The sequence below is a fragment of the Homo sapiens genome, chromosome 12 (genome assembly GCF_000001405.40).
Source record: "Homo sapiens chromosome 12, GRCh38.p14 Primary Assembly".
Lineage (NCBI taxonomy): Eukaryota > Metazoa > Chordata > Mammalia > Primates > Hominidae > Homo > Homo sapiens.
Window position 1 is genome coordinate 122,244,223 of NC_000012.12, and position 12,057 is coordinate 122,256,279.

The window sequence follows — 12,057 nt, forward strand, 5'->3', positions numbered from 1 at the left end:
ATTATAGAGGATTCTTTATTTGTAGTACAGATGGCTTCCTCTTAGGCAAGGTAGGAAATAATTTAAGACGATAAAGCAAATGTTTATGATGGAAGTCTGTAAACTGCACACACTTGCGCCTCCACCTACCCTCCACACAAAAAGAACTTTACGCAACGCGGGTCTGAGAAAGTTTAAAATGAAAACCTCGGATCTTCCAATACTGAATCTGCAGTTACTGAAGATGAGAAAAGTTGCATTGAAGCCTGGTTTAATGGCTACATATTTTTGGAGCTCTTATTCCCCTCAGGGGTGGGCATCTACCTGAGGCCTAGAGTTGCAGAATGACACCCAAAACTTGCCTCACCTCGAATGCTGCAGAGATGATCTTTGCTTTCTTGCTGAGCACAGAGCCAACTGCGTTGAAGTTCTTATCTCGGATCTCAGCATAGAGCTCCTCTGCAGAATTCAGCTGCAGCTTCTTTGCTTCCGTGGGGAGGTCCTTACCACCATCGCCCTGTTTCTTAGGTGCAAATTTCTCTGGAGGTAATTTCACATAACCTGAGCAGCAGTGGAAGGGAATAAGCACCTGTGTGCAATGACTGGAAGAACCAATCCGGTAACCAAGCACAAAACAGAATTTCCAACTCAGGAGAAAATGGAAGACGGCAAACGACACATAGCTCTGAGCTTTTGATTTTCCATGATCAAAGTACAGGAAGTAGTGACTCTAATACTGATACCACAGTTCTCATTATCTTTGGGGCACCTATATAAACCACATGCAGCAATGTCCACTTCCTAAACTTATTCAGGGATTAGGTCACTTTTCCACTCAGAAAACTTTCAAGGATCTCCCCATTGACTTTTAGTATTTTTTCAAACTGTAGATCATGTTCCATTAGTGGATCATGAAATCAAGCTGGTGGGTTGCAAGTAGCATCTTAAAACCAAAACCAAACGAAACCAAAACAAAACAACAGTACCAAAAACAGCACAGAGTAGAAAATACAAAAGCTTATCACACGCTGTTAGAGAAGCTAGTGGTGGCTTCGTTTTATTTTTTTTTTAAATAAAACTTTTGTTTCAGTTTAACATGCACATGCATACATGTGTGTATATACTGGCTCATGATATAAAATACATTTCTTACTGTGGATTGGAATCCAAAATAGTTTAAAAGCCATCCTAGAACAAGAATTAGAAACTACGGTCTGAGGACCAAACTCTGTTCACGTTCTGTTTTTTTTTTTTTTTTTGAGACGGAGTTTCACTCTTGTCACCCAGGCTGGAGTGCAATGGCACGATCTCGGCTCACTGCAACCTCCACCTCCTGGGTTCAAATGATTCTCCTGCCTCAGCCTCCTGAGTAGCTCAGATTATAGGCACCCACCACCATGCCCGGCTAATTTTCTTGTATTTTTAGTAGAGACAGGGTTTCACCATGTTGGCCAGGCTGGTCTTGAACTCTTGTCTTCAGGTGAGCCACCCTCCTGGGCCTCCCAAAGTGCTGGATTACAGGTGTGAGCCACCATGCCCAGCCCACTTTCTGTTTTTGCAAATAAAGTTTTATTGGCACATGGCCACAGCTATTCTTTTTGTATTGTCTATGGCTACTTTCACATGACAATGACAGAGACAAGGAGGTTCCTCTGTATGACCTGCACTTTGTAACAAGCAAAAGCCTAAAATACTTACTATCTGGGTCTTTATAGAAAAAGCTGTACACCCTGATCTAGAATAAGCTTCCAAATTCCTTAGCATGGTATCCACTTCCTCTGCGAAGTAGCCTTAATCTCCTTCTCCCTACTCTGCTCCTGCCAAGCCAAGTGAGTCCCTATTTTCCTGGAACACCCCACATGTGCTCATGAACTACGGATGGCATGGAGCTGGTGTAACTCTGCAGTAAAGCAATTTGGCAACATGTACCAAGTGCCTTTCACCCCAAAAATCCTGCATCAGGGAATCCAGGGAAAGAAAATAATCTGATATATGAAAAAAATCTTATGTAGGCTGGGCACAGTGGCTCACGCCTGTAATCCCAGCACTTTGAGAGGCTTAGGTGGGAGGATCTCTCTCTCTCTCTTATTTTATTTATTTATTTATTTATTTATTTAAGAGGGAGTCTCGCTCTCTCGCCCAGGCTGGAGTGCAGTGGCGTGATCTCAGCTCACTACAACCTCCACCTCCCGGGTTCAAGCGATTCTCCTGCCTCAGCCTCCTGAGTAGCTAGGATTACAGGCGCCCGCCACCACACCCGACTAATTTTTGTACTTTTAGTAGAGACGGGTTTCACCATGTTGGCCAGGCTGGTCTCGAACTCCTGACCTCAGATGATCCGCTCACCTCAACCTCCCAAAGTGCTGGGATTACAGACATGAGCCAGTGTGTCCAGCCACTTTTTGGTTTTTTAATTGAGACACAGTCTCAGTCTGTCACCCAGACTGGAGTGCAGTGGCACGATCTCGGCTCACTGCAACCTCCACCTCCCAGGTTCAAGCAATTCTCCTGCCTCAGCCTCCCAAGTAGCTGGGATTATAGCCACCCGCCACCATACCTGGCTAATTTTTTTTTGTATTTAGTAGAAATGGGGTTTCACTATGTTGGTCAGGCTGGTCTCGAACTCCTGACCTCAGGTGATTGGCCCGCCTTGGCCTCCCACAGTGCTAGGATTACAGGCATAAGCCACCATGCCTGCCCTATACTGTGGATTTTAATGTAACGATTACAGTATGCATACACTAGGAAAATGCTCATTAGCATACCAAATCAAAACTCAGGTTTGAAACTATTTGTACAACCTGATTCCATTTTTTGTTAACTACAATAAACTACACAAGGGGAAAAAAAGACTAGGAAATAATACCACAATATTAACAGTGGTTGTCCCAAGGTTTGGGGCCACAGGGCTGTTGGGGTAAGGTTGGAGGATAATAACGGATCTATGTTTTCTTCTATTTTTCCAATTTTTTTCCTAATCAATGTTTGACTTACATTACGAAAAAACTTGCTACAAGGAGGCTGGGAATTTATACATATTTTTTCTCTTCTTGGAAAATCCCTTCCCACATACCTCCCACCCCTCCTATACAGCTGTCCCTGGGCCAACTCCCAGGCCGCCTCTCCCCCCACCATTCCCCATCCTGAACTTCAGAGCTCTTCTTTCATGCCTTCCTGGGTGCTACATGCTCTGGGACCACCCTGTTTCTTTGATTTCCACCCACAACCCAGCATAGGGCTCTCCTGAAATAAATTCCTCTGTCAATAAATAGAGTTTTAAAAAGTATTAAAGGTGCCATTTTTTTGACAAACAATAATAATAAGACTTTTTACAATCTTATCACTAAAGACCTTCCATACGTGTGGAAACGCCTCCTCATGCATGTCTCTCTCTCCGTCACCCACGTCATTCATTCATCCATTCTTGTGGTAAATTGCACATAATATAAAAATTACTACTTTGTTTTACAGTGAATGATCCAGTAGCATTTAGTACATATACAACATGGTAGGACCACAGCCAGTATCTAGTTCCACACTTTTTTATCCCAAAGGGAAACCCTGTAGCCAATAAGTGGTGACTCCCCATCCCCTTCCTGTAGTCCTGGCAACCACGAGTCCGTTTCCCTCTGAATTGCAGGCCCTTCCTCTCTTCCTTCCTTTCTTTCTTTTTAAATATTTAAAAAAATTTTCACCTATTTTATTATTTTTTTGAGACAAAGTCTCACTCTGTCACCCGGGCTGGAGTGCAGCCGTGCGATCTTGGCTCACTGCAAGCTCCACCTCCTAAGTTCAAGCGATTCTCGTGCCTCAGCCTCCTGAGTAGCTGGTACTACAGGCATGCGCCACCAAATCCAGCTGTGTGTGTGTGTGTGTGTGTGTGTATTTTTAGTAGTGATGGGGTTTCACCACGTTGGTCAGCCTGGTCTCAAACTTCTGATCTCACGTGATCTGCCTGCCTTGGCCTCCCAAAGTGCTGGGGTTACAGGAGTGAGCCACCGCGCCTGGCCTCATCTTTCTTACACATCCCTCTCCTCAGGCCTTCCCTTGGCTCCCTGTGACTTCATTCAGGATGGCAATAGAGGCCGGGGACTATGCAGACGAGGGAAGAAGGCCAGGCTGAGACAGGTGTAGGGGTCTGTGGTGAGGCAGGGAGCTCTAGACACTCTGGGTCCTGGCCACCAGTGGGAGCATGGCCTCTTGCCAGTGCTTCCAATATTTTTCGTCATGGCCTAATTCAGGATTATTACTTAAAATGTATCACATTCTAAAGCTGACAGAAATAAATATCATGTGGGCCAAAACCAGCCAAACCAAACATACTTGTGATCTACCTAATCACCCACCAAGGCCAGGCACTAACCAGCCATCCACATCTTCCATAGAGTGGCCTCGACCTTCTGTACCAGCCGTTTTTCTAAAATATTTCTCCAGCCATGCACTCCACTCAACCACGTTGCTTGGCTCGTCATGACTCTGTGTATGATGCCGACTGCCCCTGCCCCAGGATCTCCAACTAAACTCTCCACGTCTTTCCAACCAGCACAAACGCCACTGCTTCTGCCGCCTTCGTCAACTACTGCCGGCTGCAAGGATGTGTGCGTCGCAAATGCCAGTGCCCTCTGAGGGAGACCCTTGGCCTCTGCTCACAGGGGACAAGGACCGGCCTGGGCACTAAAATTCTGGCCAACTCTTGTGTCACCGACAACTGCAATTTGCTCAGATGTCACTGAATCCTAGTGTCTGAAAGTCAGAGGTCAGTATTTTTATTGTTTCAAGGGTTCTCTGATTTCTATGTAAAGGAAGCAGCTTTCTAAAAACTGACCCTTTGGAGGCATGGTCTGATTATTCCACCTCCAGTTATTTCCAGTTTTTACGGTATTCTTAGTTATTTTTTATAAATATATTATAAATATAGTTTGGAATACACATACATATGCAGACACATATATAACAACCTCTAATTGAAATAGGCATGGCTACGCAGTTTTTCATGTTCCACATTTATTATTTTGATGGTTCCAAATATTTTCTTTTTTTTTGAGACAGTCTCACTCTGTCGCCAGGCTGGAGTGCAGTGGCGCTCTCTCGGCTCACTGCAACCTCCTCCTCCCGGGTTCAAGCAATTCCTCCATATCAGCCTCCCAAGTAGCTGGGGCTACAGGCATGTGCCACCACACTCAGCTAATTTTTTGTATTTTTAGTAGAGACGGGCATCTCACCATGTTTGCCAGACTGGTCTTGAACACCTGACCTCAAGTGATCTGCCCGCCTTGGCTTCCCAAAGAGCTGGAATTACAAGTGTGAGCCACCACACCCAGGTGGTTCCATAATATTTCATAATGTACTCAACCACTGAGATTGTTTGGAAAATTCTGGTAAGAAAATGGAAATCGAAATTCTTATGCAAACCTCACTGATCCTCTTTTTTGGAATGATTCCTCAAGGCACATTCTTAGGCTTTGGGTTTTCTTTGGCCAAGGGTTAGAAAAGTTTTATGTGTTGCTAAATTGCTTACAAAAAGGTCTGTATTAATCTACACTCTGAATCATTAAAATCGGATCTCTGACTTTAAATTATGCTTAAGTGTGCAATATACAAACAGTAGCCTCCACAAAGGATATTCTTCTCATATTACCTATTAGTGAAAACAGATGTCATGTACTTACTGTTCTGAATGCCATAAATTTCATCAATGAGTCCTTCATATGTCAGCTGAGTGGCAAGAGGTGTTAATAAATCCACATTCCGATCAAGCAACAAGAGATTATCAAAAACAGGAAATATTGAATTCTGGCTTCCTGTAAACTCTCTCTTCATCCTGATCATCATATTGGCCACTTGCTGGAAACAAAACATTGGATGAGGTGGGGCCCCCCTGGGAACAAGCAGATTTTAAAATTTGTCTAAAACCAGAAAGACAATCAAAAAAGTAAAAAAGGAGAAAAACTGGAAGAGTGCATTGCTTAGAAATAAGCAGCTCTAGAAAAGCACCTTGCTGTTGGCACCCATCCCGACACTTGCACCAAGGCAGCTGCCATTTGCCAATGAGGCATAAAATCAGGTCAGTCTATTCTTGTGATTCGCAGTAGTTATGTTCTATGAAGTCACTGCAAACACTAAATTAGCGAAGATGGAACCACTGTTCCTAGGAGAAACGCAGACTTAGGTTCCTGGGAGCCTCTGGTCTCAACGTTTCTGTCAATTGATCAATACGTAACCCAGTTTTATATGTGTTTCTGCTTAAAGATGCCTGACTTAACATAATTGTTGATCACTCACACTGAACTGACAGCCAGCAGCTCTGTGACTCGTGCCTGAACGAAGCGTCTCTGACACACGTAATGTCTCCGCCAGGCACACCACAGCCTTCTTGTGCACAAGACACCCGACTGCACCTCAGTCCTACATTTGCAGGCCATTTTAAACAGTGAAATCACCAAAAAAAGTACACACGTGTGGAAAATATGACAGTGAGACTGTGAAAAGTACACTTGTTTGCAGTCTGAGAGCTGAAATGGGAAGGTGGAGTGTCAGCTGCCTCAGTTGGGAACATGCGCAGTGGTTACTCAAACTGTCACCACTGTGCACGCCGACAAAAGCACCATGAGTACTGACTTGGAGGGTTATAAGTGCATTTTAATCAGTAGGCAAATTCATGAGTACAGTATTCATAAATAATTAAGATCAACTGAATTTGTTTGTAAGGAGCTTCCCGTTCCTCCTCCCTTTTGGGGTGTGAAGGGCCCTCCTTTACCACCACAAAGCAGCCGGTTCTCACCCGAGCGCATTCTCCTTTCCCAAAGATCTGGGGGATCGTTCCATACAGAGCTTGCAGGGTCATCAGCCCCTTGGCTGCGTGGTACAGGCTCGTCTGGTCACCCTCCAGGTAGCACTCCTGTGAGGGAAAAGGCCAATTATTGCCAGGCCATGGGGGCCTCCCAGGGGCCCATCTCTGTTCCTGGGGCTGGGGTGCAGCGACAGACAATAAAATCATTTCCAGTTATTTCACACTGTGCCAGGAAAATTGGGGACTCAAGTTCATTTTCCAAAACTGCTGCCTGTCAGACCAGGCGCTGAGGCTGGCAGCCCCAGGGTGGGTGCAGCCGTGGAAGCACCTCTCCTGGGCAGAGCCGGGGCTTCTGGGAGAAAACTGTTCACCCAGCATGCCAGCTCTTCTGAATCAGCTCTTAAATAAAAGACGGAAGAATACAGACTTACACTGAACGATGGGTTCCCATTCACTGGTGAGAGTAAACTCTGGTAGGACATGCTGGGAGAGCGACATGCTAATACCCAGAAATGCAAAAGACCACAGGACGAATACTTTATTGTTTTCAAAAAGGATGAGGCAGATTTTCATGACAACTGACAACTGAAGGCCACAATCTGTTGAGTATGATCTCATTTTATAAAAAATATATATTTTTGCATTGAAAAAAGGACCTCCAACTCAGCAAACTATCACAAGGACAAAAAAACAAACACCGCATGTTCTCACTCATAGGTGGGAATTGAACAATGAGAACACTTGGACACAGGAAGGGGAACATCACACACCAGGGCCTGTCGTGGGGTGGGGGAAGGGGGGAGGGATAGCATTAGGAGATATACCTAATGTAAATGATGAGTTAATGGGTGCAGCACACCAACATGGCACATGTATACATATGTAACAAACCTGCATGTTGTGCACATGTACCCTAGAACTTAAAGTATAAAAAAAAAAAAAAGAAAAAAGAATCTCCAAAATACACACAAAACCACCTGGGAAGGCTAGGTGCAGTGGCTCATGGCTGTAATCACAGCACTTTGGGAGGCTGAGATAGGAGGATTGCTTGAGCTCTTGAGTTTGAGACCAGACTGGGCAACATAGTGAGACCCTGTATCTATAAAAAATTAAATAATTAGCCAGGGATAGTAGCATGCATCTGTATCTGAGCTACTCAGGAGGGTAAGGCAGGAGGATCACCGGAGCCCAGGGATTTGAGGCTGCAATGAGCTATGTTCGCACCGCCACACTCCCCTCTGGGCAACAGAGCAAGACCCCATCTCTTTTTTTATTTTTATTTTTATTTTTTTTTTGAGATGGAGTCTCGCTCTGTCGCCCTGGCTGGAGTGCAGTGGCGCGATCTCGGCTCACTGCAAGCTCCACCTACTGGGTTCACACCATTCTCCTGCCTCAGCCTCCCAAGTAGCTGGGACTACAGGCGCCCGCCACCACGCCTGGCTAATTTTTTTGTATTTCTTAGTAGAGACGGGGTTTCACCATGTTAGCCCTGATGGTCTCGATCTCCTGACCTCGTGATCCGCCCACCTCGGCCTCCCAAAGTGCTGGGATTACAGGCGTGAGCCACCGCGCCCAGCCGACCCCATCTCTTTAAAAAAAAAAGAGAGAGAGAAAAAAACCACCTGTGAGGTGAGAGGAGGGAAGCAGTCACTTTTGATACAGGTGGATCAAAACACAGGTTCTAGACTCAGATTGCCTTGTTCTGAATCCAACTGTGTCACTTACTAGCTGTGCCCTGGGCCAGTTAGAGAATCTCTTTGTGCCTCAATTTATTCATATGTAGAAGGGAGTATAGTCCACATAGGGCAAGTATTAAATGAGAAAAATACATGTAAAGCATTTAATCCCAGTACCTGAAACATACAGCAAATGCTCAGTAACAGTTAGCTTTTATTTGGAATTATTTAGGTTTTTTTACAACCATTATCCACTCATAAGTCAATATGGTACATTTTATCAATTCCCTCCACCCCTACCAACCCAACATGTCCCTGCTGTCCACAGCCAGAACTGAGGGGGCCCTGAGGGTCCAGGGCCTGAGGAAGAGAGAGCGGGGTTGTCACTTGTCAGGCCCTCTGCCCCAGGGAGGAAGGATGGCAGACATGGTGGGGAGCGTTTGGTTATTATTGAGAGTGTCGCCGGACTACTCTTTCAAGTGTGGTATATTTTAACGTTTCCCTGAATATGGCAGACCATCGAGAATATGTCAAAAGACACGCTTTTTGGCAAAACCACTTAAAACTCCAGATCAGATGAACGTTCAAGGGCAAAAGACATTGAGGGCTGGGTGCGGTGGCTCACGCCTGTAATCCCAGCACTTTGGGAGGCTGAGCGGGGAGGATCATGAGGTCGGGAGTTCTAGACCAGCCTGACCAAAATGGTGAAACCCCTTCTCTACTAAAAATACAAAAATTAGCCAGGTGTGGTGGCATGTGCCTGTAATCCCAGCTACTCAGGTGACTGAGGCAGCAGAATCACTTGAACTCAGGAGGTGGAGGTTGCAGTGAGCTGAGATTGTGCCACTGCACTCCAGCCGGGGCAACAGAGCAAGACTGTCTCAAAAAAAAAAAAAAAAAAGACATTAAGGAACTCCTCTCCAAATAGCATTCATATTTTACTTAATTTTTTTAAGTTGTACTACTACAAAGACATCTCTTTTACAATATTTTTTAAAAGATGTAAAAGTTAACAACAGATTTTAATCTTGGTTGTTTTTCCTTTTTTGAGACAGAGTCTTGCTCTATCACCCAGGCTGGAGTGCAGTCGGGCAACCTCAGCTCACTGCAACCTACACCTCCCGAGTTCAAGTGATTCTCCTGCCTCAGCCTCCTGAGTAGCTGGGATCATAGGTGCCCACCACCATGCCTGGCTAAGTTTTTGTGTTTTTAATAGAGATGGGGTTTCACCACGTTGCCGAGGCTGGTCTCGAACCCCTAACCTCAGGTGATCCGTCTGCCTTGGCCGCCCAAAGTGCCACCACACCCAGCCCAATACCCTTAACATTTAAATGCGCATTTTTTTAACCCCAAAGTCTCACATACCCACACAGCAGAATACCTTGCAGAATACCATACAAGAGGCAGGTTTTATATATGCTGATTTTTATATATACGCGTAAAGGCCACAGTACCTTAAGCAATGTTATTGAGCATTTGACTGGGCAGAACTCTAATTCCCACATTTTACACAGAACAATGACATAGATGGTCACAACTGTAACTCAAAACACAGAGAGATCTAGATGTACCTCCTGAAGCCAATCACAGAAATACGATTAACGTCATCTCCACCAAAAATCGGGGCTGACTTTAACATTAGGCTCTTAGGTCGAAGCTCTTAGCTGTGCCATCCGGATAAAGTCCTTTCTTTTTCTTTCTGCCACTTCCTCTAACTCCCCCAATCCACCCCCCCGCCTTTTTTTTTTTTTTTGAGATAGGCTCTCGCTCTGTTGCCCAGGCTGGAGTACAGTGGTGCAATCTTGGCTCACTGCAACCCCTGCCTCCTGGGCTCAAGTGATTCTCCTGCCTCAGTCTGCGAAGTAGCTGGGATTACAGGCATGCACCACCACACCCAGCTAATTTTAATTTTGTTTTATTTTTAGTAGAGATGGAGTTTTGCTATGTTGCCCAGCCTGGTCTCGAACTACTGACCATAGATGATCCGCCCACCTCAGCCTCCCAAAGTGCTGGCAGGTAGGAGCCACCATGTCCGGCCAAAACAGCATCTTAGGTGAATATACAAAGCCAAAGGCTTGAAATTGTCAGTAGAAAATAGTTCTGGCCAGGCGCGGTGGCTCACGCCTGTAATCCCAGCACTTTGGGAGGCTGAGGCGGTGGATCGCCTGAGGTCAGGAGTTCGAGACCAGCTTGGGCCACATGGTGAAACCCTGTCTCTACCAAAAACACAAAAAATTAGCCAGTGTGGTGGCTGGCGCCTGTAGTCCCAGCTACTCAGGAGGCTGAGGCAGGAGAATCACTTGAACCCAGGAGGTGGAGGCTGCAATGAGACGAGATGGCACCAACGCACTCCAGCCTAGGCGGCAGAGTGAAACTCAGTTTCAAGGAAAAAAAAAAAAAAAAGAAAATAGTTCTGCCCTTTCTTACAAATCATAAGTAAAATAAACAGGTTATTTCTCCTCTGCACAGATTTTGTCACTCCAAGAGAGTTTGCTTCGGCTGCTACCAATTCCCATTAAATACACAAATATGGATTAATTAAAAATGAGTATACCATCACAGGTATGTGATAAAGCACATATAGAAAACTGTTAATCCAGAAGATAAGTGGTGGATAGACAGGTGTTCACTGTACAATTCAATTTTTTGGTATATTGAAATTTTCCTATAAAATGTTAGAAGGAAATCTATATTACCATCAGGTAGGATTTCGTGTAAGCAAACCACTAGGGAACAAGGTACAAAAGAGCCAAGAGGGTTGGGCGCAATGGCCCACGCCTGTAATCCCAGCACTCTGGGAGGCCGAGATGAGCAGATCATGAGGTCAGGAGTTCGAGACCAGCCTGGCCAACATGGTGAAACCCCGTCTCTACTAAAAATACAAAAAATTAGCCAGGTGCAGTGGCGGGCACCTGTAATTCCAACTACTCGGGAGGCTGAGGCAGGAGAATCGCTTGAACCTGGGAGGCGGAGGTTGCAGTGAGCCGAGATTGCGCCACACAGCACTCCAGCCTGGGGAACAAGAGTGAGACTCCGTCTCAAAAAAAAAAAAAAAAAAAAAAAAAGCCAAGAAAGTCCCCTGGTTATAGGATTAGTCGGTGGTGCCACTGACTTCTACTGCCCCAGATTAACTTTTTTATTTTTCGCTTTTTCTGTGGCCGGGTCTCACTCTGTCACCCAGGCAGGAGTGCACTGGTGTGATCACAGCGCCCTGCAGCCTCAACCTCCTGGGCTCAAGTGATCCTTCTGCCTCAGCCTCCTGAGTTACTGGAATGACAGGTGCACATCACCACGTGTGGCTAGTTTTTTGTAAAGACAGGGCCTCACTCTGTTGCCCAGGCTGGTCTCGAACTCCTGGCCTTAAGTGATCCTCCCACCTTGGTCTCCCAAAGTGCTGGGATTACGGGCATGAACCACTGTGCCTGGCCTATTTTATTTTTTTAAATAAGTTTCATTTTTCCCCCTTTTGTGAAAACTGTCAACAAATTAACTCTTTTAACGAGGTGATCTCTGTAACAACACAATGGGGAAAAAAAGATTCCAATAATTTTATGTACTATACCAGCGGTTCCCTAAAGTTCTAGTCTCTACCTTCGAAGTATTTTATTGGTA

At 45.3% G+C, this 12,057-nt stretch overlaps 1 protein-coding gene across 5 annotated transcripts in view; it reads right to left on the bottom strand.

The window, feature by feature from the left end:
• Positions 1–12,057, bottom strand: part of VPS33A (VPS33A core subunit of CORVET and HOPS complexes) — a 36,931-nt gene that overhangs the window by 14,659 nt on the left and 10,215 nt on the right. For 3 of the 5 annotated variants that reach the window (NM_022916.6, NM_001351018.2, NM_001351019.2), the window contains exons 5-7: positions 6,761–6,877; positions 5,649–5,823; positions 347–540 (exon numbers count right to left, since the gene is read on the bottom strand). In NM_022916.6, the coding sequence (NP_075067.2) occupies positions 347–540; positions 5,649–5,823; positions 6,761–6,877 (486 nt within the window). Of the gene's footprint in view, positions 1–346; positions 541–5,648; positions 5,824–6,760; positions 6,878–8,639; positions 9,322–12,057 lie in introns of those variants that run through there. The other 2 variants (NM_001351020.2, NM_001351021.2) reach the window with 2 other exon arrangements.